A 23,840-nucleotide genomic window follows, 5' to 3' on the forward strand; every position below is an offset into this window, starting at 1 on the left:
ACATAGAGAGACCCCCATCTCTTCAATAAATAAATAAATTTAAAACCTGTATATATTCTTATGGTTAAAAGTCAATCAATACAGATTACCTAATTTCGTTATCACAGCACCCCTATGAGATAGGTACTGTTTTTTTTTAAAGGCTTAAAATGTATTTTAATAGGTCGATGCTGCATTACTGCTCCAGTTCTCAGAAAAACTCCAAATATATCAGAGACAAATCAAATACAATACACCAATGGAAAAAAAAGGCACAGCATGACTACCTAAGATAGGCGAGTCTAAGAGCTACTGTCAGACCTTCAGTATACAGTAACCCTGTTCCCAAGATTGTACTAGGCCTATCAAGAAAAGCTGTGAACAGCAGTATCATAGACACAAAAGGGTCATTCCTGGGTGTCCTCACCCAAGAAAAAGATGGAGGCAAGTTAACACAAGATTTTTTTTTAAAGATATACTAAAATGAAAATCTCTAAGAGAAAATGTCTTCTTTAGGACATGAAGGGGTAATATATGGGATATAATAGAACCGTATGTACGTTGCCTGTGACCTTTGTGGACGTTTACCTGAATTCTCACCTGGGAGTGAATGGAGCAATGCGGCTAAGGTCATTGGGGGATGTTTGGTTTTTGTGGTGTATGTGGCAGTTTCTCTGGGACTGGGGGAGTGTAAGGATAAGAAAGCAAGTGAGGTTGGGCACGGTGGCTCACCCCTGTAATCCCAGCATTTTGGGAGGCTGAGGCAGGGGATCACGAGGTCAGGAGTTCAAGATCAGCCTGGACAAGCTTGAACCCGAGAGGCAGAGATTGCAGTGAGCCGAGATCGTGCCACTACACTCCAGCCTGGGCGACAGAGTAAGACTCCATCTCGGGGGCAGGGCAAGCAAATGAAACAAGATGGACAAAAAAAAAAAAAAAAAAAAACAACAAACAAACCAAAAAAACAGAATGATCAAGATTAATGGGCTCTAACTGGATCTACTTTGCCATGGTTTCCCCAGGCCCTCAACAATCACATTTGAGACTTCAGGAATGCACCACACAGAACTGATTAAATAATATACTACATAGAATTGACTTGTTTAATACCACCCCTCCCTTGTCCTCTGCCTCCAGCATACTCCCTAGAGTAGTACAGGCAGGGTAGATCTAACTATTGGAAGGAATCCCTAACACTTTTCCAGGGTAGAATTCTGGCTGGTCCAAAAAGGGTCCTTCTTTTAAGGGTTTTGAGAAACTAGACACTGCAACTTATTAGTATCGGCGACGTTTGTTTGGAGCAAATTCAGCTCCAGGAGCTGCATGGTTGAATGCAGGAGGAGTTTCACCAATTGCCCCAATTCCTTCCATTGTAGCAGCCTGACCAAAGCGTTCAGTTGTTGGTGGGGTCAATCCCAAAGTTCCATCCGGCATCATAGTGGCAGGTCCTGGAGGAGCTGGGGTACCAGCTGGCACAGGAGCAGGGGTCAAGGCACCTCTGCTGTTTATGCCCATAGCACCTCCCATAGCCATCTGACCCATCCAAATCTCCTGCTCTCTCACATCAGGGAAGGTTCCCTTGAATCCTTCCTGCTGTGGCTGCATCATTTCTTCTTGCTGCCGCCGCATCTCTTCTTCAGGGCGCCTGCGCTCTTCCTCCTGCCTGAGCTCCAGTTGCTTTCGTTTTTGCACCTCTTGGTTGTGCAGCTCTTCCATCCTCCGAAGTTCTTCTTGGCGCCTCATCAAATTCTGTCTCATTAGCATGACCTGGTGCTTATGGCGTGCAGCCTCCATCTCCATCTCTGGCTTCTCACGAGCCTCTTTGATGTTGCGGTCCACTTGGTCCTGCTGCTGCTTCTCCATCTCAATGAGTGCCTTCCAGCGCATGGCATATTCATACTCAAAGGAGCCAGGCTGTGCAAATCTGGGTGGTTGCTCTCGTTCCTTGTGAAATTGCTGGTTTTTTATAACCAGCTTCTCTGGAAGTCCCCCTTCATCATCTAACTGGTCCATGGGCTCCATAGTCACAGGACGAGGAAATGTGGTTAGCAGGAAGGAGCCTTCACTGCGTCTGTCCAGAGCTTTCCCAGCAGCTGGCTTCCCTGAGAACTCAACAATGCCTTTTCCTGAGGGCCTTCCTCGATCATCCACAATGACTACAGCCCTCTCTACCTGGCCAAACACAGAAAAGGCTTCTTCCAGCACTTCGTTGGACACATACTGAGGAAGGTTTCGAACTGTAAGGGATGCACTATGGCAGGAAAAGCGCACACGCAGCTGCTTTCCACAGAGTGGCATATTGTCCAGCTCCACTTTCGCAATCTCCGCTAGGGTTCGTGTTTCCAAGCGGATAAAGCCAAATCCTTAATCCTTATGAATGAAGACTTCGCCTGCCTTTCCATATTTCTCAAATAGTTTCCTCATTTCTTCCTCAGTGATGTCGGGAGGAAGATTTCCCACAAAAAGACGGCTTCGTTGGGTGAAGGTCTTCTCTCCTGGTTTTCTAAAATTCTTCAGGCCAAATAGTCAAAGCCTTCATTTTGGCTGCTGGCCTGTTGCCCATTTGCAGGTATTGGCGGTGGTGGCGGCTGCAGCTGTTGCTGCTGGTGGTGATGTTGATGATGCTTTCTTGGAGTATGGTTTTGCTTCTCCAAGTTAAAAGTTTTATTACTCTGCATTTTTGCACCCTCAACTTCGATTGAAGACAGCAAAGTGCCTCCCACTTCCCTCTAACCTGGACTTCTCCTCTACCGACTGGTCTCTCCTCGGAGTAACGGCGACGCTACACGGCCTCTCCCGTCCCGAGAAAAGCTTTTTTTTGTTTTGTTTTGTTTTGAGACGGAGTCTTGCTCTGTCGCCCAGTCTGGAGTGCAGTGGCGCGATCTCAACTCACTGCAAGCTCCCCCTCCCGGGTTCACGCCATTCCCCTGCCTCGGCCACCCAAGTAGCTGGGACTACAGGCGCCCGCCACCATGCCCGACTTTTTTTGTATTTTTAGTAGAGACAGGATTTCACCGTATTAGCCAGGATGGTCTCGATCTCCTGACCTCGTGGTCCACCCGCCTCGGCCTCCCAAAGTGCTGGGATTACAGGCGTGAGCCACCGCGCCCGGCCAAGATAGGTACTGTTTTACAGACAAGGGATAGCTAACTAAAGCCACTAGGTGTAGCTGACATGGTCAGTAAGTGGTGAAAATAACGTAACACCCAGACAAACTGATTCAGAGCCACTTTTTTCTCTCTTCTCTTCTTTTTTCTTTCCTTTCCTTTTCTCTCTCTCTCTTTCTTTCTTTCTTTCTTTTTTTTTTTTTTGAGACACGGTCTCTCTCTGTTGCCCAGGCTGGTGTGCAGTGGCATGATCATAGTTCACTGCAACCTTGAACTCCCAGGCTCAAGTGAGCCTCCTACCTCAGCCTCTCGAGTAGCTGGCACCACAGGCCCACACCACCATGCCCAGCTAGTTTTTTCATTTTTACTTTTGTAGAGATGAGAGTCTCATCATGTTGCCCAGGCTGGTCTGAAACTCCCAGGTTCAAGCAGTCCTTTAGCCTTGGCCTCCCAAAGTGCTGGGATTACAGGTGTGAGACACGGTGCTGTCCCTGAGCCACCTAATTATCCATTCTGTTATACTGACTGCTGCTTATGTGCCTTCACTTCATTTTGAGCAACGTGGGGCCAGAGTCTGTCTAATTTGTCTTAATAGTCTCACCCCACCTCCCTAAGCAACACACATAATTTGGTAGCAAATAATTCCTTGCTGAATTGAACAGAAGGTGTATTTAGTGACTTCTACGTTTCCTTGCAAATCTGAAATTTTATGATTATAAGATCCGGTGAATTTTGCTGAATGTCGACTTGGGTCTTCATGCAAACTTTCTTCATGAAGTCTTCACGCCAGCTGGATTCCTCAATTGTCATTTATCTGTCCTACCCCAAAAATCCTTCAGTGCTACTGAATATTGCCTTTCAGCAATTACCCAAATTCAGTCTTTCTCTTTTTTTGGGGTGGCGGGAAGGGGACTGAGTTTTGCTCTCGTCGCCCAGGCTGGAGCACAGTGGTGCGATCTCAGCTCACTGCCACCTCTGCCTCCCAGGTTCAACAATTCTCCTGCCTCAGCCTCCTGTGTAGCTGAGATTATGGGTGCCCGCCACCACGCCTGGCTAATTTTTGTATTTTTAGTACAGATGGGGTTTCACCATATTGGCCAGATGGTCTCGAACTCCTGATGTACGGTGATCCACCTGCCTTGGCCTCCCAAAGTGCTAGAATTACAGGCGTGAGCCATTGCACCTGGCTCAACCTTTCTCACCACTCAGTCTCTTCATTATCTAGAACGTGCCTGTGCTACCTGCCGTAACAGAGTATGGCTGGAGGCTATTTCTCATTTTCTAGTTTATCATATCAATTTTTTTTTTTTGAGACAGAGTCTCACCCTGTCATCCAGGCTGGAGTCCAGTGTGCAATCTTGGCTCACTGCAACCTCCGCCTCCCAGGTTCAAGCGATTCTCAAGCCTCAGGCTCCTGATTAGCTGGGACTACGGGTGTGTGCCACCATGCCCAGCTAATATTTGTATTTTTTGTAGAGATGGGTTTTCACCATGTTGCCCAGTCTGATCTCGAGCCCCTGACAGTCTGATCTGCCCGCCTTGGCCTCCCAAAGTACTGGGATTACAGGTGCCAGCCACCGCACCCTGTCAGATTTTATTCTTTTAATGTGCAGTGTGTGCTCTTTGCTTGTCCCTTCTCCCCTTTGGTGAACACTTACTCAGATGCCACTAAATCTTTTCTGCAGGGTTGTTAAAAAAAAGCAACAAAAGATAAAAAATGAAATATGAAAGAAGAAAACAAACCGAAACCAACAAATGCTAGTAAGTCAAGGAAATAGTCTCTAATTTATCTAGAACAGAATTAGTAAAACTGCCATCAATGGAACTGGAGAAGTTTTAGTTATAGTAGTTTTATAAATGAGACTAATATAGGGTTTAATGTACAAAGACAGGACTGTATCTCCTTGAAAGTTAATCTCTTGGATTTGGAGTGGTACTACAAAAAGTAGAGACTAAGTGTTCAACCTATTTATTTATTTAGATACAGAGTCTCACTCTGTCGCCCAGGCTGGAGTGCAGAGGCGTTATCATGGCTCACTGCCACCTCCGCCTCCCGGGTTCAAGCAATTCTCCTGCCTCAGGTTCTGGAGTACCTGGGATTACCCGCACCCGGACCATGCCCGGCGAATCTTTTTTTTTTTTTTTTTTGTAGTTTTAGTAGAGATGGGGTTTCACCAGGTTGGCCAAGTGGGTTTCGAACTCCCGACCTCAGGTAATCCACCTGCCTCTGCCTCCCAAAGTGCTGGGATTACAGGCGTGAGCCTCCACGCCCCACCAGCCAATTTAATTTGTATGCATGATAGAATCCATCCCAATTCGAAGACCCAAAAATAACAGATTAGTACAAGTCTTTGAGGCTAATTACGTCATTAGTATTAATTTTAATCAATGGTGATTAAACTGAGCCTTCATTCAACTTGTCCAGAACATCAGTCAAGAATGTCTATTTAAAATGTTCTTGGAGGCCGGGCGCATTGGCTCACGCCTATAATCTGAGCACTTTGGGAGGCCAAGGCAGGTGGATCATCTGAGGTTAGGAGTTTGAGACCAGCCTGGCCAACATGGTGAAACCCCATCTCTATTAAAAATACAAAAATTAGCCAGGCATGGTGGTGGGTGCCTGTAGTCCCAGCTACTCAGGAGGCTGAGGAAGGAGAATTGCTTGAACCTGGGAGGCAGAGGTTGCAGTGAGCCAAGATTGAGCCACTGCACTCCTGCCTGGGCTACAAGAGTGAAACTCTGTCTCAAGCAAGCAAATAAATAAATAAATAAATAAATAAATAAAGTTATTGGGCAGGCACAGTGGCATTCGCCTGTAGTCTCAGCTACTTGGGAGGCTGAAGCAAGAGGACTGCTTGAAGCTGGGAGTTCGAGCCCAGCCAAAGCAACCTATCCAGACCCATCTCTTAAAAAAAATATTTCTCTGCCAGGTGCGGTGGTTCATGCCTGTAATCCCAGCACTTTGGGAGGCCAAGGTGGGCGGATCATTTGAAGTCAGGTGTTCGAGACCAGACTGGTCAACATGGAGGAACCCTGTCTCTACTAAAAATGCAAAAATTAGCCAGGCGTGGTGGTGCACGCCTGTAATCCCAGCTACTCGGGAGGCTGAGGCAGGAGAATTGCATGAACCGGCGAGACGGAGGTTGCAGTCAGCTGAGACTGCACCACTGCACTCCAGCCTGGGCGACAGAGCGAGGCTCCATCTCAAAAAAAAAAAAAAAAATATCATCTATCTATCCACCTACCTACCTACCTACCTACCTGGATTATAATTCATTAAGTTCTCTGTGCCCTGTAGTTGTAGATTAAGGGAATGCGATTGGATTAGTGTGGAGGGGCTTTTTATGGAGCCAAGCAGGAGTTTTTAAGCTTTTGTACTTTTGCTTCATGTCACAAGGACAGATGCCCCACAAAGGCTGAGATGTTTGTGGTCCTGGATCTTAGAACAGTGCCTGGCACATAATAGGCATAAGGTTGCCAGGAAATAGAAATACAGATACTCAATTCAATTTGATCTTCAGATAATCAAAAAATACTTTTTTTAGTATAAATATGTCCCATTCTGTATTTGGGACATACATATTACACTGTTGTTTATCTGAAATTCAAATTTAAGTGGGTGTCCTGTACTTTATCTGGCAACCCTACTAAAGGAGCTCAATTAAGTATTTGCTGACTTAACAGTCTGAAGGTCTCGTTTCACCTGTAAAATGGGGCTAGTACCTGTCCCTGCCTCTATAAGGTTGATGGGCAGAGTAGGTGGCATTCAGTGAGCCCTCAATTTATTTGATTGCCTGGGACCATCCGGTGAGCAGAAACCCTTCCACTTTCAACTACAGAGACGATAAAAAGGCCTCCTCGAGGCCAGAGGTGCCCAGGCCAGGCCTAGGTGGCCCGCACCTGCGAGCCTGGCCAGCCTCTTCCGGGTCAGGTGACCGCGCGCGGTCACGTGACCCGGCCCGAGTGCGGGCGGTGGAAGGCGGAAGTAGGAGAGGAGTTCGGCGCCGCTTCTGTGGCCACGGCAGGTAGCGAGCGCTGGCGCGGGGGGCGCGGTGGGCTGGCTGCCTGCACGGGGCGGGCCGGGGGCGGCGGGCGGCGCGGGGTGGGCCGGGGGCGGCGCGGCCCGGGCGTCGGGGGGCGGCGGCTTCCTGTGGGAGGGGCCTGGCGCGGCGGTTCCGGCCTCCGAGGAGGGGTGTCCCGGCTCCCGCCCGAGTGGGGTGGGCGCGCCGCGGCCCGCGCGGGGGTTGCTCCGAAATGGGTGCCCCGGCCGCCAAGGGTGCAGCTGGAGCGAGTCCTCCCGGAAGGGGAGAGGAGCTTAGGTTCCCAGGCATGGAGAGGAGCGATCTTTGTGGAGGGATCGGGACCAGGGGAAGGGGCGACTTGGAACTGAGCTGGAAGGGGGTGCCTGAAAATGGGTTTATGGCGTGGAGCCAGAGGGAAAAAGATGCTGCCTGGACCCCCTCTGAGAGTCTCTCCCTTCCTTCCTGTTTGGAAATGATTGTTACCCGAGACTTTGATGACGGTCCCATTCAGTTTTTAAACTTCAGGAGGGATCACAGAATCTTGATCGTCTTGCTTCCCTCGCGCCCACTTAGTCCTGCGTGGGTAGGGTTTCCACTTCTTGGGAGCCTAGCCCTTCAGCTCATTTTTCTTTGAGATTTTCCCTGAACGGGCCATCATCGAGGCTTTAAAAAACAAAAAAAGAAAATAAATTAAAAAAATAAGTGTGGGCACTTTGCCTGTAAAATGGCTTTTAGCTTACACTGTTGACCTAGCCCAGCGTTACCTCAGCAACATAGTGACTGCTGAAATCTTGGACAGAGAAGTGTCTACCTAGACTGCTTTATGACTTTTCTCTTTCTTCCGTTTAAATTATTCAGTTTCCCTTAGCTTATCTTGTGACTGCTTATCTTGACGAACTGTAACTAGGTAGGGTGCCTGAGAGGTCTGTGTTATGTTCCTTAGAACTGTGACCTGGATCATGATTTTGAGATTGAATACTTGTGTTAAAGCCTGTTCATCTTCCTGTTTCTCATGTTTACTAAAATTTGCAGAAGCAAAAGGAGTTTCATGAGTGCAGTGTAACTGGAACGAATGTTCAAACTGGACATTCACAGCAGCCAGCATCGTTTTGGGTTACAAGTAGGAAAAAGTACTTTCCTAATGTATTATGAGTTCAAGTTTTTGGAGTTATTTGACAAACATTTAAAAATTAGTTTTTGCAGCAGCGCCTATGAGTGAGGTTGGGAAGATGTATTCTCATTTCACAGGGAACAAACAGACTTACGAGAGACGACTTGATTTTTTAAAACAATTTATTGCTCTTTCTTGTTTGCTGGCCTCTTCCTGCTAGATTGCAAATCCTTCAAGGGCAGGTTTCATATTTTATTTGGCTGCTAGCCTAGTGCCTGGCATGTTGTGAGCACTTGATAAATATTTGGTGAATAAATGCATTTCTAAAAGTCACACCGGCGTAAGTGGTGACAAAGGATTTGAACCCAAGTCTTCTACTCTTTTTCTTGTCAGAGAAGCTTGTGATTATCTGTGTCATTGGTCCATATGAAAACAGGCTCGAGAGAAAGGCTTGGATTGGCTTCTCAGTCTCTTTCACTTCATGATTACTTTCCCATTTACAAAGAGCGTATACCAACATCTCACTTAACCTTCCCTTTGAAATTGGGATGGTCAGTATTGTCCCTATATCACATGAAGAGACTGAGGCTTAATGAAGTCCTTACTTTAGATTTCAGAGCTAGTAAATGAGTAGGGACTCAAGCCCAGACCCTTAATCCTTAGATCCATTCTTTTTCATTTATTGACACAATAGAAAATTTTATTTTTATTTTATTTTGAGACAGGATCTTACTCTGTTGCCCAGGCTGGAGTGCAGTGGCACAATCACGGCTCACTGTAACCTTGACCTGCCTGGGCTCGGGTGATCCTCCCATGTCTGCCTCCCAAACAGCTGGGACTACAGGTGGGTGCCACCTCGCCTGGCTAATTTTTGTAGAGACAGGGGTTTTGCTATGTTGCCCGGGCTGTTTTCAAACTCCGGGGCTCAAGCGATCCTCCCACCTCGGCCTCTCAAAGTGTTGCAATTACAGGTGTAAGTCACCATGCCCAACTGAAAGTTTTATTTTTACATAATTTTTCAGGAATAAAAAGTGTAACATTTTAAGGAAAAAGATCACACAGAAAAAGTTGTGAATGTAGAATGTGAGTAAATGAAGTTTAGAAAACGCTGTACTCTACCATAGCTTCCTCTTCCTGGGAAAACATTCTTTCATTCAGTGAATATTTATAAGTACCCACTCTGTCTTTGCCAGGCATTGTTGTAGAGTCCAGTATGGTGTACACTAGCCACATGGGGCTGCTGAGCACTGGAGCTATGCTGTGAGCATAAAATACATTCTGGATTTTGAAGACTTAGCATGAAGAAAAGTAAAATGTCTCATTGATACTTTTTATGTTATAGTAAACGATCATATAATGTATAAACATGTATGATAACATTTTGGATTTATTGGGTTAAATACAACGTAATTATAAATAGTTGGTCAGACATGGTGGCTCATGCCTATAATTCCAGCACTTTGGGAGGTCAAGGTGGATAGATTGCTTGAGCCCAGGAATTTGGGACCAGCCTGGGCAACATGGTGAAACCCTGTCTCTACAAAAAATACAAAAATTAGCCAGGTGCAGTGGCGCCCGCCTGGCTACTCAGGAGGCTGAGGTGGGAGGATCACCCAAGCCTGGGGAGGTGGAGGCTGCAGTGAGTTGTGATCGTGCCACTCATTGCACTCTAGCCTAGGTGACAGAGTGAGACCCTGTCTCAAAAAAAAGAAAAAGAAAAAGAAAAAAAGTTTCACCTTTTTGTCTTTTTTTTTCCCACTTAACCTTGACTTGAAACCCAGCACTTTTTTCTTTTTAAAATGTATTTCCTAGAAAAATAAAAAATTATAAATGTGGCTTGCACTTGTGGCTCCCATCTTATTTCTATTGGACAAACCTGTTCTGAATGCCAGGAATATAGCAGTACAAGAAAGGTAAGGATCCCCACCCTTGTGGATCTTCAATTTTATTAGAGAAGGGCACATTGATAACTAAGTATAATATGTATTATGTTGTAATAAAGCAGGGAAGAGGGATGTAGGTTGCAGTTTAAATAGGATCCTGGCCAGGTGCGGTGGCTCACGCCTGTAATTCCAGAACTTTTGGAGGCTGAGACGGGCGGATCACTTGAGGTCAGGATTTCAAGACCAGCCTGACCAACATGGTGAAACCCCATCTCTACCCAAAATACAAAAATTAGCTGGGCTTGTTGGCACATGTGTCTAATTCCAGCTACTCGGGAGGCTGAGGCACGAGAATTGCTTGAGCTCGGGAGATGGAGGTTGCAGTGAACCAAGATCGCGCCACTGCACTCCAGCCTAGGTGATGAAGTGAGACTCCGTCTTGCTTTTGGAGAGATGGGGAGTTGGGGGCGGGGGTTCTCACTTTTGCCCAGGCTGGTCTTGAACACTTGGCCTCAAGACATCCTCCTGCCTCAGCCTCCGAAAGTGCTGAGATTACAGGCATGAACCATTGCACCTGGCTCAGTCTCTTAACTCTAAATACTATCCACATGCTAACAGCTTCCATATGTGTGTCTAGCCTAGGCCTGTCTCGAGACTTCTAGATCTAATTGCCCACAATATCTTCACGTGGATTCCTATCAGGCATTTTATAATCAACATCAACAAAATTGAGCCCTACACCTGCCCCTCAGACAGCCTTCCCCATCTCAGTTAATGACAACTCCATTCCTCCAGTTGTTCAAGCCAAAGACCTTGGAGTCACCCTTGACTCGTCTCTTCCTCTCACACCCCACATCCAACTCAGCTCGTCCACAAAGCCTACTGGCTGTACTTCAGAGTACACCCTGGATGCATCTTTCCCCTGGATGATGGCAACAGCCTCCTAACTTGTCTCCCTCTTCCACCCTGGCTGGCCTTCACTTTCTCCACACAGGACCCAGGGCAAGTCTGTTAAAAGGCAGGGTGGATCCTGTCCACTCCACTGCCCAACTCAAACCCTCCAATTGTCCCAGCTTAACTGGAGTGAAAACCAATACCCTACAATGGCCTGCAAGCCTTCCATGACCTGATCTCTCCTCCCACACCCACCACCACCCTGACCTCCTCTCTCCACTCCTGCTTACTCAATCCCCTCCAGCCACACTGGCCTCCTGACTGGTCCCAAAACCTGCCAGTGGTACTCCTTATTTGGGGCTTTTGAACTCTGCCTGGACCCTTAAGCCCCTATTCAGCCACATGGCCCCTTCCTTCCCTCACTTCCTCAGATCTTTACTCAACCATCACCTTCAGAGAGAGGCTTTTCTAGGGATCCTATATTTTACTTTATTATTTTTGGAGTGTTGTTCTGTTGCCCAGGCTGGAGTGCAATGGTACGATCTTGGCTCACTGCAACCTTCACCTCCCAGGTTCAAGTGACTCTCCTGCCTCAGCCTCCTGAGTAGCTGGGATTACAGGCATCTGCCACTATGTCCAACTAATTTTTGTATTTTTAGTAGAGATGGGGTTTCACCAGGTTGGTCAGGCTAGCCTCAAAATCCTGACCTCAAGTGATCTGCCTGCCTCGGCCTCCCAAAGTACTGGAATAGGGGTTTTGTTTTTTTTTTTTTTAATCTTTTTGAAAACCACAAGCTAATGGGTTTCTTTTTTCTTAATGAGGCTACTCTTCCAACTGTGCATCTTTATAGCACCCCTGAAATCAATTTGAGTGCCAATTTCTGGAATTAGTCTGGCTTCCTGGGTTGGCATCCAGTTTAGGCCTCCAGGATGGATGGATAATGGGCTTTTTATGTTTGAAATATGTATTGGTTTTTTCAAACATGTATTGAATGCATGTTGTTTGTCAGGCATCCCACCATTTTATACATTTAACCTTGTTGAGGTGAAGTGACCCTCACGAGGTCAGATAGCTAAGAAATGAAAGAGATGGCCATTTGAATCTTGGTCTTCAGAGTCCACATCTGGTCCTTCTACCACTTATCATTAGTGAGATGGGTGGAGTGGCTATATAAACATAAACTCCCTTTGGAATCAAATCAGTGAGTTGCTTTTGAGCGACTTTGAGTCCCTTAGGACTATTATGTGTCACAGGCAGAAAGGGAATTTACCAGGTAAAGAAAGGCAGATTTATTAAAGTGAAAACACGTTGCAAGAAAGCAATGGGCAGCACAGCAGAGAAGGGGCTGTCTGCAAAGAGGCAGGAGATGGAGGGAAGTTTTACAGGGTTGTGCTGGAGGGGGCTATGTGGGGATTGATGCATCTGAGGGCTGTTTGTGATTAATCATTTCTCAGAACGACTGTCCATGGCTTTCCCCTACCTGAGGCCCCTTCCTCGTTGTTGCTTACTTATCTTATTAGGACTCCACATTATGGACTCTGAAATTTCTTTTCTTTCTTCTTTATTTGTTTTGCTTTTGAGACAAGGTCTCATTCTGTCACCCAGGCTGAAGTACAGTGGCATGATCATGGCTCACTGCAGCCTCAACCTTTTGAGCTCAAGTGATCCTCCCATCTTAGCCTTCCAAGTAGCTGAGACTATAGGCATGTGCCACCATGCCTAGCTAATTTTTAACTTTTTTGTAGAGATGGGGTCCCACTATGTTACTCAGACTGGTCTTGAACTCCGGGCTCAAGTGATCCTCCTGCCTCAGCCTCCCAAAGTGTTTGGGGTTACAGGTGTGAGCCACCACAACTGGCTAGGGCTCTGGAATTTCTGAAAGATGGGAACAAAAGGGAAGATGTTTCCCCTGGATGATGGGACAGGTTAGATTCTAACCAAAATCTTTTTAGAAGGTTGCAGTTCCCTGTTTTTCACCCCACCGCAGTTTATAGCAAATATTCAGTGATTTAAATCATTACTACTAATAATAACTATTAGGAAAATACCAGCCAGGCATGGTGGCTCACACCTATAATCCCAGCACTTTAGGAGGCCGAGGTGGGTAGATCACCTGAAGTCAGGAGTTTAAGACCAGCCTGGCCAACATGGAGAAACCCCGTCTCTACTAAAAATACAAAAAATTAGCTAGGCGTGGTGGCAGACACCTGTAATCCCAGCTACTTGGGAGCCTGAGGCAGGAGAATCGCTTGAACCCAGGAGGCGGAGGTTGCAGTGAGCCGAGATTGCATCACTGCCCTCTAGCCTGGGCAACAAGAGCGAAACTCCTTCTCAAAAATAATTAAATAAATAAAAAATAACAAGTACCAAGACATGGCAGTCCTGACCTAGGGCCCGTCCTCTTCCTCAAGTCACCCATGCCTTTTGCTTCTTGTTTTGTCTTCAGATCTGCTTTCCAGTCAGCCTCTTTTATTCTTAGCCTGTAATTCCACGGGGCTTCCAATAGTGTACCTCCCTGCTCCCTCCCGTTTTCTCTTTTTCCGTGCTTAGTCTTTGTAAGGATGTCATTTGGCAAAGTTGATTCTGTTTGATTGTTTTTCAATATGGGCCTTTGGAGAATGGAAGGTAGTAACTCAATGCTGGACAGAGGAAGGAGGCCAAGAAAGAAGCATTAGTGTTGGAGTAGCATGAGCCTGTGAAGAACAGGAGAATCTTTTGGACAGAGCTTTTCCTTGCATATCTTTCAAGAAATGAGTGCAGGCTGGGCGCAGTGGCTCACGCCTGTAATCCCAGCACTTTGGGAGGCCAAGGCGGGTGGATCATGAGGTCAGGAGATCGAGACCATCCTGGCTAACGTGATGAAACCCATCTCTACTAAAAATACAAAAAACTAGTCAGGCGTGGTGACAGGCACCTGTAATCCCCGCTACTCGGAAGGCTGAGGCAAGAGAATTGCTTGAACCCGGGAGGTGGAGGTTTGCAGTGAGCCGAGATTGCACCACTCACTCCAGCCTGGGTGACAGAGCAAGACTCCATCTCAAAAAAAAAAAAAAAAAAAAAATAGAAGTGGGTGCAAGGTTTATCTCTAGTTAGAAATAAGCTCTGCCTGTTTCTACAGCTGGTTAATTAGAAATAAAATCTTTGTGAACCCATGGATTATATTGAAAAAAATTTTTTAAAACAAGAAATAAAATATTGATACTGGTGTGTAATTTCTGCTTTTCCCTGGCTCCTTCTACACAGGTCTTTTCATCTCAAGATCGGTGTTCACTGGTTTCTTGACTCAGAGCTGGGTCAAGAATTTTAGGAATTGAGGTGCTTGTAATGCCAGAGCCAAGAATTTCAGTATCGAGAAGTGGTTTTGTTTGTAGTTGATATTTGAAGAGCTCTTACTGTGTGTCCTCTGCTTTACCTGAATTCATGTAGTCAGTACAGTAATCTTATAAAGTAAGTACTATTATTGGGTTCATTTCACAGATGAGAAAACTGAGATTTAGAGAGGGTAGGTATGATTTTGTGAAATATATATTTAGTCTTCCTCCCATTTCCTGGCCTATAACTCCTAAAATCATTGAAATCTCCCAAGTGATCAGTGTCTTTTTTTTTTTTTTTTTTGAGATAGAATCTCGCTGTGTCGCCCAGGCTAGAGTGCAATGGCATAATCTCGGCTCGCTGCAGCCTCTAAGCGATTCCCGTGCCTCAGCCTCCCAAGTAGCTGGGGCTACAGGCACATGCCGTCATACCCAGCTAATTTTTGTATTTTTAGTAGAGATGGGATTTCGCCGTGTTGGCCAGGCTGGTCTCGAACTCCTGAGCTCAGGTGATCTGTCTGCCTTGGCCTCCCAAAGTGCTGAGATTACAGGTGTGAGCCACCACACCTGGTCAGTGTCTTTTTGTGTGCTAATAATTGACCTTTGGTTGGGGACTCCTGGATAGTCTCAGGATTTGGGGGCCAGTGGCCAGGGAAACCAGCCTTGTAGTTAGAGGGTTGGCACTTTTAGTCCCACACCCAGCCTCTGGGACAGGGAGAGGGACTGAAAGTTGACTTGATCTGCAGTGGCAGTGACTTAATTGATCATGCCTGCGTAATGAAGCTTCCATAAAAACCCTGAAGGACTGGGTTTGGGGAGCTTCTGGATGGCTGCACACGTGGAGGTTCTTGGAGGATGGCACCCTCAGAGAGGGCTTGGAGGCTCTGTGCCCCTTCTCACATGCCTCGCCCTACGTCTCTTCATTTGTATCCTTCATAATATCCTTTATAATAAATCAGTAAATGCAAATAAAGTGTTTCCTTGAGTCCTGTGAGTTGCTCTAGCAAATTTATCAATCCTAAGAACCTCGATTTATAGCCGGTTGGTCAGAAGCACGGGTAAAACAACCTGGAGCTTGCAATTGATGTCGCAAGTCAGGGGCAGTCTTGGGGAACTAAACCTGTGGGATCTGATGCTATTTCCAGGTGGATAGTGTAGGAACTGAATTAGAGGACACCCAGCTGGTGTCTGCCAGCTGCAGAATTGATTGCTTACTTGGTATGTGGGGCTCCCACACATCTGGTGTCAGAAGTATTCTGTGGGGCTGGGCGTGGTGGCTCACACCTGTAATCCCAGCACTTTGGGAGGCAGAGGTAGGAGGATCGCTTGAGCCCAGGAGTTTGAGATCAACCCGGGCAGCATAGTGAAATCCTGTCTCTATTAAAAAAAAAAAAAAAAGGTAGTATTCTGTGTTGTGAGAGTATAGCAGGAAGAAACTGAGTTTGCTTTTTCCTCTCCATCCTCTCAGTAAGTAACTTGCTCTGGATCACTCAAAGGCAAATGAGTGGTTCAGCTTATTAGCCTCCAGAAGATTGACAGGTCTGAAAGGTTGTTGCTGAGGTAGGGTGATAAAAGTGATCAGGTGCTTCAGGTATTGCAGGAGCTGCCACTAGCTTAATCTGATGTGTAGTTGTTTTCTCCTGTCAAAAGTTCTGTAATAATTATTATTTTTCTTTTTGAGATGAAATCTTGCTGTGTCTCCCAGGCTGGAGTGCAGTGTGCTATCTTGGCTCACTGCAACCTCCGCCTCCCGGGTTCAAGCTATTCTCTTGCCTCAGCTCCTGAGTAGCTGGGATTACAGGTGCCTGCCACCATGCCCGGCTAATTTTTGTATTTTTAGTAGAGACGGGGTTTCCCCATGTTGGCCAGGCTGGTCTCGAAATCCTGACCTCAAGTGATCCACCCGCCTGGGCCTCCTAAAGTGCTGGGATTATAGGCATGAGGCACAGAGCCTGAAGGACTGTAGCTTTGTAGTAAGTTTTAAAATTGGAAAGTGTTAGTCATCCAACTTTGTTCTTTTTCAAGATTGTTTTGGCGATTCTGGGTTCCTTGCATTTCCTTACTTTAGGATCAGCTTGTCAATTGCTGAAAAACAATTCTCTTTTTCTCTCTGTTTGTTTTTATATCTGGCTTTTTGGCCAAGGACTTCTGCAATGTTTGTTGACATTTAGGTGTGAAGTACACATGTATGCTAGGACCCAAGTGCGGGAAGGTGAGTTGGGTGGGGGAAATTGACCTTTTCAGTTTATAATGTAGACTTTCACTGTCTCGCTGGGTCAATATGGTGCCTTATCCCTATTGTCAACTATGCCTGAAGTCTTGAGTTTGGTTTCACCTGTTGAGAAACTAAAAGTCTTTTTAGTCTTTTTTTTTTTTTTTTTTTTTTTTTTGAGACAGAGTCTTGCTCTTGTTGCCCAGGCTGGAGTGTAATGGTGTGATCTTAGCTCACCATGACCTGTCTCCCAGGTTCAAGCTATTCTCCTGCCTCGGCCTATCCCAAGTAGCTGGGATTACAGGCACGCACCACTACACCTGGCTAATTTTGTATTTTTAGTAAAGACAGGGTTTCATCATGTTGGTCAGGCTGGTCTCGAACTCCCGAACTTGGGTGATCCGCCTGCCTCGGCCTCCCAAAGTGCTGGACTAAAAGTCTGCTTGGGATTAGGAAGGGGCAACTGCTTGGTTGAACTGGGTGGGGAGGGGACTCTGGGACTCTAATCATTCCCAAGATAGGCTTTTGCCAGTCCTCCTGTTTTTAGCCCCACTTCTGCCCTTACTTTCGGAGGTACCTGTACTACTGATGCAGGGCACGTGAGCCCCAAAACTGGGGGTTAGTCTGGGTAGGTTCTTGGCTTTGCCCTGGAAAGAATTCAAGGGCAAGCTGGTAGTAGAAGAAAACAGCTTTATTGAGGCAGCAGAGTTACAGCTCCGTGACTGCTCCTGCAGAGCAGGGCTACGCTATAGGCAGTGTGTCCCTAGTAGCAGCTCAGGGGCAGTTTTGCTGTCATATTTATACCCAGTTTTAATTATATGCAAGTTAAGGAGTGGGCTATTAGACATTTCTAGAAAAGTGGTAACTTCTGGGGCATTACCATGGCATTGGCACACTGTCATGGCACTGGTGGGTGTGTCTTGTGGGGAGGTGCTTTTGGTGCCTCTTCCCTGTTTCAGCCAGTCTTCAGTCTGGTCCTGAGTCGAGTCCTCCCTCCTGCCTCACCACCAGTGATTGACCCTTTCTGGAATTCTTCATTGCCAGTCTGCTTGCCTTCTGTTGACCTCTCTTGTGGGCAGCTAAGTTTCAGTTTCGACACACTGGAACCATTTTCCAAAATTTTGCTGCTGTTTCCGTTGTGTTTTTTTCCCTTTCTGTGGGTTTTCACCTTTTTGTATTGCTTCCTGTCATTTTGATGGAGTTTGAGAAGGGAACAGAGATAAATGTATGTGTAGTCTGCTCTGTGTATTGAGAGCTCCTGGAAGGCTAAGGGAAGAACTGGCCTCTGGGAAGACGCTAGTGTCGCTACTACTTTGTTTCCTTAGCAACAGTCCTGACGGGGAGCTCCTTCATTGTATTCTGTTCCTACCGATACACGTTGCTCCTTTTTTTTTTTTGAGATGACTCTCATGCTGTCGCTCAGGCTGGAGTGCAATGGCACAATCTTGGCTCACTGCAACCTTCGCCTCCCAGGTTCAAGTGATTCTCCTGCCTCAGCCTCCCAAGTAGCTGAGATTACAGGCACTCACTACCACACCCAGATAATTTTTTTATTTTTAGTAGAGATTGGGTTTCACTATGTTGGCCGGGCTGATCTCGAACTCTTGACCTCATGTGGTCCACCCACCTCGGCCTCCCAAAGTGCTAGAATTACAGGCATGAGCCACCACGCCCAGCCACCTTTTCTTTTTTTTCTTTTGAAACAGGGTCTTCCTCTGTTGCTCAGGCTGGAGTGCAGTGGAGTGATTACAGCTCACTGCAGCCTTGACCTCCTGGGTTCTGGTGATTTCCCACCTCAGCCTCCTGAGTAGCTGGGACTACAGGCATGCACCACCATGTCTGACTAATTTTTTGTATTTTTTGTAGAAATGGGGTTTCTCTATGTTGCCTAGACTGGTCTCGAATTCCTGGGCTCAAGCAGTCTGCCCACATCAGCCTCCCAAAGTGCTTGGATTACAGGCATGAGCCACTACACCCAGCTGCCCCAGTTTTTCATTTGCATAATTTTCTATGCAAATTTTTTGCATTTTTTTAGTTCAGCCAAATTAGCTGAGGTCTAAAGCACTCCTTTTAGTGCAGTCACATTAGTTGAGGTTTCAACAAATTCATTAACAGTAAACCAGTGGTCCTCAACCCAGCTTCATATTAGGATCACTTGGGGAATTTTTAAATAACACAGCTGTCCCTGGCCCACCCCAGACCAATTAAATGGGAATCTCTGAGGGTAGGGTTTGGTGGTCAGTGTTGTTTTTTTTTAATGCTCCCCAGATAATTCAGATGTCTAGAAAGGATGGAGAACCACTGCTCCAAGGCATTTGATCCTTCATTAAGGATAATTTAACCTAACTCTACACATTCAATTACATCTGTTATCTTATTGTTATTCTTTCCATCTTACATTTCCACCCAACATTGGCCTCTTTCCTTCCTTGTATTCCCCAGACATGCTGTCACCTCAACAGCATTTTTTTTTTGAGACAGGGTCTTGCTCTGTCACCTAGCTGGAGTGCAGTGGCGTGATCATAGCTCACTGCAGCCTAGACCTCCCAGGCTCAAGCGATCCTCCCACCTCACCTCAGCCTCCCGAGTAACTGTGACTACAGGCATGTGCCACCATGGCTAATTTTTGTGGTTTTTGTTGAGACGAGGTTTTGCCCTATTGTTCAGGCTGGTCTCGAACTCCTGGATTCAAGTGATCCACCTGACTTGGCCTCCTAAGGTGCTGGGATTACATGCATGAGCCACCACTGCTGGCCATCATACCCTTTTATCTATCTGAATGTTTTGCAGATACTCTCAGTTTCTTCCTTCAGCTTCTTCAGATCTTTGCTCAAATGTCACCTTCTCAGTGAGACCTTCCTGTTCATGCCTTTTTAATTTCTATTTTGGCCAGGTGCTGTGGCTTACGTTTATAATCCCATCACTTTGGGAGGCCAAGGCAGGAGGATGGCTTGAGCCTAGGAGTTCAAGACCAGTCTGGACAACTTGGTAAAATCCTATCTCTACTAAAAATACCAAAATTAGCCAGGCATGGTGGCATGTACCTGTAACCCTAGCTACTCAGGAGGCTGAGGCATGAGAATCACTTGAATCTGGGAGGTGGAGGTGCAGTGAGCTGAGATCACGCCACAGCACTCCAGCCTGGGTGACAGAGCAAGACTGTCTCAAAAAAAAAAAAAAAAGAAAAGAAAAGAAAAAGTGAAAAGCATGCAAATTTATATCATATAAATTTACGTGACTAAGACCTGGAGAAACAGATAATGTGTATTTATGTTTAGGTTTGATGAAGAGTGGACAATCGTGGAGAAATACGATTGGACAAAAGGGGTATGATTGACTGGTAATACACTGGGGGAAATTTAACAAGTCCTATTTGTTCAGATTCTTCTCTGTGTCCTTTTGTTTTCAGAGAAGGATATTTCTTTCCTTGGGGTATAAGGAGGGCATCTCTCAAAGGAGGGTCATATGACCCGTTTCAGGGGAAGGTCAGAAAATCTTTCATAGGCTTTATGACCTGCTTTATGGGAGAAGGGTGAGAGGAAGCTGAGAGTGACTTCCTGCTTTTCCTGTTTTCTTAAATGCCAAGGTGTCATGTTTTGGGGTAAGGTATCTTAAACCCCATCAGCCATGTCCTGTCTACTGATGAGCCCATCAAGGCATTCTTCACTTCTATTACAGTGTTTATGATTTCTAGCATTTTCTGTTGACTCTTATAGTTGCTATATCTCTCCTTACATTGCCCATCTATTCTCATGTGTTGTCTGCTGTTTCCATTAGAGCCCTGAACCTAGTAATCATAGTTATTTTGCATTACCTGTTTGATTATTCTAAAATCTGTCCTATCTGAGTCAGGTTCTGATGCTTGCTTTATTTCTTTTTCACACTGTTTCTTCTTGCCTTTTAGTGTGTTTTGTAATTTTTCATTGAGAGCTAGACATTGACCTTCTTCCTGCTGATCAGTTCCTCTTCCTTACCCCTCCCTAGTTCTTGTTTAAAAAAGAAAGCTGGACATGATGTATTAGGTAATAGGAAATGAGATAAATAGTCCATTAGTATTGTTAGTATGGTGTTTCATGTTAATCTGGCTAAGAGTTGGTCTGTGTTTAATGATTGCTGTAACTGTTGGTATCTGAGGCTTCAAATTCCTCTAGTGTCCTTGTTTCTGTCTCCCCTGTTATCTTTGGTTTTCCCTAAAAACTCCTTCTTAAATAGAGTGTATGCCTTTCAGCCCTAATTCCCTGTTGTTGTACTGGAGCCCTGTTGGTGTGACAGCAAAGTATGGGGGAGGGGAAGCATTCTATAGCCTCATGGTCAAATCCTAGTCTTTTAGTGGGCCTGTGTCCCAGGCTATGACTGTCACTCATATTTAACTGTTTTTCTCCCCTTAGATGAAACAGAAAGGCTAAAGAGGGCTGGAGTCAGGGGACTTCTCTTCCACCAGGTAGGATAAGGCTCTGGTAAAGTCTTCTTCCCTGGAGAGTAGGCCATTGCTCTGGGCCTATTTCACTATGGTTACTTCCCACAACTAGAGCTAGGAGGGAATCTTTCTTGACTCTTTACCAGGATAATCTTGTAAAGAAGGATTTTTTCTTCTGTTTTATTCAGCAGTATACCACTAGCACCAAAACCAGTGCAGAGTACATAATAGATGCTCAATAAATATTTGTCAAATGAATGAATGCCTCTTATCTAAGCTCTAGAGATTGTTACCTAGATGTGGGAAGTTTCTTAACTTATAATGATAATAGGCCGGGCGCAGTGGCTTACGCCTGTAATCCCAGCACTTTGGGAGGCCAAGGTGGGCGGATCACCTGAGGTCAGGTGTTCGAGACCAGCCTTAACATGGAGAAACCCCGTCTCTACTAAAAATACAAAACATTAGCTGGGCGTGGTGGTGCATGCCTGTAATCCCAGCTACTCTGGAGGCTGAGGCAGGAGAATTGCTTGAACCTGGGAGGCGGAGGTTGTGGTGAGCCGAGATTGTGCCATTGCACTCCAGCCTGGGCAACAAGAGCGAAATTCCATCTCGAAAAAAAAAAAATAAAAAAAATTATAATAAACTGATGACATTTCTCTGAATGAAATTAGTCCCTAGTGTAGTATTTGCTTATTAGGTTCTGTAGTGTTTGTTTAATCTAAAACCCTACCTTAGATGGGATTGTTGTAGACCAGTAGTCTCAAGCTTTTTTGACTGCAACCTTTAGTAAGACATACATTTTATATCTTAAAACAGTATATGTGTGTGTGTGTATATATATGTATGTATATTTATTTTAAAACAGTATATGGATATATATATACACATATGTGTATATACAATACACATATGGATATATATACACATATGTGTATATACAATACACATATGGATATACACATATGTGTATATACAATATACATATGGAGATATCATATATGCACCTATTAATATATATACATGTATATTTATTTGGTAAAACTTTTTGTGAAATAATACTTTCCTTTGTGTGTGATATACTTTTATATTTTCTTTTTTTTTGAAACGGAGTCTCATTCTGTCACCCAGGCTGGAGTGCAGTGGTGCGGTCTTGGCTTATTGCAACCTCTGCCTCCTGGGTTCAAGCAATTCTCCTGCCTCAGCCTCCTTATTAACTGGGATTACAGGCACCTGCCACCACGACCAGATAATTTTTGTGTTTTTAGTAGAGATGGGGTTTCACCCTGTTGGCGAGGCTGGTCTCGAACTCCTGACCTCAAGCAATTCACCCACCTCAGCCTCCCAAAGTGTTGGGATTACAGGCATGAGCCACCGTGCTCGGCCTATATTTTCTTTTAAAAAAATCTTTTTATTTATTATAGTTTGGTATACAACTTTTATAGTTTCTACCCTATTAGTTTGTATTTTATTTTTAAAATGCTTGTCAAGATTTATGTAGAGGATAAGTTCAGAGGAAATATGTTGTTTGTATTTATATTATATATAAATATGTTATTTATATTTTTGAGACCAAGTGTGGTGGCTCATGCTTGTAATCCCATCACTTTGGGAGGCTGAGGTGGGAGGATTGCCTGAGCTCAAGAGTTCCAGATCAGCCTGAACAACATAGGGACCCCCTTCATCTGTACAAAAAATTTAAAAAATTAGGTGAGTCTGGTGGCTGGTGCCTGTAGTCCCAGCCTTTTAGAAGGCTGAGGTGAGAGGATTGCTTGAGCCCAGGAGGTTGAGGCTGCAGTGAGCCATGATTGTGCCACTGCACTCCAGCTTGGGGTGACAGAGTGAAACCCTGTCTCAAATATATATATATATATATACACACACACACACACATGTATATACATACACATAGATACACACACACACACATATATACATACACACTCATACTATAAATAAATATATATATATATATATATTTTTTTTTTTTTGAGAAATTTCAATAGATCTACCAGACTTAGTAAAGGGGGACATTTTGACTTTCCCATCCCCCTCCCAATAAGTCCATTAGTTTCTTCAATAATGAAATACTTTGTTCATCTGGTAACCTTTAGTTATATTTTAAACATTGACCCCCTTCTCCCTCTTCCAGCAAAGCTTATGCTCACTCAGAGTTTTGGAGTGATTAGGATGCAATTACTTTCCATGGCTATTAGCAGGGGAGAAATTACTTGAGTACGTGTACGGAGTCATCTGTTCGTGTTGCTGAGACAGAGTGTGAAGTCTGGGCCTCAGGTTTCCTAAGCTTCTTGTAGTGGATAGTGGGGATTTGGACCTAATACGCATTAGGAACCTTGTCTAAGATGGGAGGCAAAAGCTGAGAGGTCGAAAGTACTTTGATGGGGATGGGATCTGTTCCTTTCTATAGTTACGGTTATTTCTCTTGAGACAGAGTCTCGCTCTGTTGCCCAGGCTGGAGTGCAGTGGTGCGATCTCGGCTCACTGCAACGTCCACCTCCCGGGTTCAAGCAATTCTCCTGCCTCAGCCTCCCGAGTAGCTGGGATTATAGTTGCGCCACCACTCCTCGCTAATTTTTGTATTTTTCATAGAGACGGGGGTCTCACCATGTTGGCCAGGCTGGTCTTGAACTCCTGCCCTCAAGTGATCCGCATGCCTGAGCCTCCCAAAGTGCTGGGATTACAGGTGTGAGCTGTCACACCTGGCCGGTTATTTATTTATTTATTTATTTTTTGAGATGGAGTCTCGCTCTGTTGCCCAGGCTGGAGTGCAATGGTGCAATCTTGGCTCACTGCAACCTCCACCTCCTAGGTTCAAGAAATTCTCCTGCCTCAGCCTCCCAAGCAGCTGGGATTACAGGTGCCCGCCACCACACCCGGCTAATTTG

The 23,840-nt window shown here is 45.4% G+C and overlaps 1 protein-coding gene and 1 pseudogene across 12 annotated transcripts in view, besides 6 other annotated features; one reads left to right on the top strand and one right to left on the bottom strand.

The window, feature by feature from the left end:
* NONOP1 (non-POU domain containing, octamer-binding pseudogene 1) lies at nt 136-2,790 on the bottom strand (annotated as a pseudogene).
* Nucleotides 6,857-7,435: an enhancer, noted in NCBI's record as "H3K27ac hESC enhancer chr16:69796040-69796618 (GRCh37/hg19 assembly coordinates)". NCBI's record gives its function as "activates a minimal SCP1, AML or CMV promoter by ChIP-STARR-seq in naive H9 embryonic stem cells {active_cell/tissue: H9 hESC(naive)}" and the evidence as "EXISTENCE:reporter gene assay evidence [ECO:0000049][PMID:30033119]".
* Nucleotides 6,857-7,458: a biological region, named in NCBI's record as "H3K27ac hESC enhancer GRCh37_chr16:69796040-69796618".
* The window catches only part of WWP2 (WW domain containing E3 ubiquitin protein ligase 2), a 179,408-nt gene continuing 162,619 nt past the window's right edge, over nt 7,052-23,840 (top strand). For 4 of the 12 annotated variants that reach the window (XM_017022879.2, XM_017022881.2, XM_011522823.3 and 1 more), the window contains exons 1-2: nt 7,052-7,111; nt 20,909-20,961. The gene's annotated coding sequence lies outside the window, so the exon portion shown is untranslated. Of the gene's footprint in view, nt 7,112-17,744; nt 19,861-20,908; nt 20,962-23,840 lie in introns of those variants that run through there. The other 8 variants (XM_047433523.1, XM_017022880.2, XM_047433520.1 and 5 more) reach the window with 5 other exon arrangements.
* Nucleotides 7,139-7,278: a silencer, noted in NCBI's record as "silent region_7665". NCBI's record gives its function as "represses an Ori minimal core promoter by ATAC-STARR-seq in GM12878 lymphoblastoid cells {active_cell/tissue: GM12878}" and the evidence as "EXISTENCE:reporter gene assay evidence [ECO:0000049][PMID:35858748]".
* Nucleotides 7,299-7,458: a silencer, noted in NCBI's record as "silent region_7666". NCBI's record gives its function as "represses an Ori minimal core promoter by ATAC-STARR-seq in GM12878 lymphoblastoid cells {active_cell/tissue: GM12878}" and the evidence as "EXISTENCE:reporter gene assay evidence [ECO:0000049][PMID:35858748]".
* Nucleotides 7,479-7,528: a silencer, noted in NCBI's record as "silent region_7667". NCBI's record gives its function as "represses an Ori minimal core promoter by ATAC-STARR-seq in GM12878 lymphoblastoid cells {active_cell/tissue: GM12878}" and the evidence as "EXISTENCE:reporter gene assay evidence [ECO:0000049][PMID:35858748]".
* Nucleotides 18,004-18,203: an enhancer, noted in NCBI's record as "active region_11045". NCBI's record gives its function as "activates an Ori minimal core promoter by ATAC-STARR-seq in GM12878 lymphoblastoid cells {active_cell/tissue: GM12878}" and the evidence as "EXISTENCE:reporter gene assay evidence [ECO:0000049][PMID:35858748]".

Source organism: Homo sapiens, chromosome 16 (assembly GCF_000001405.40).
Source record: "Homo sapiens chromosome 16, GRCh38.p14 Primary Assembly".
Classification (NCBI taxonomy): Eukaryota; Metazoa; Chordata; class Mammalia; order Primates; family Hominidae; genus Homo; species Homo sapiens.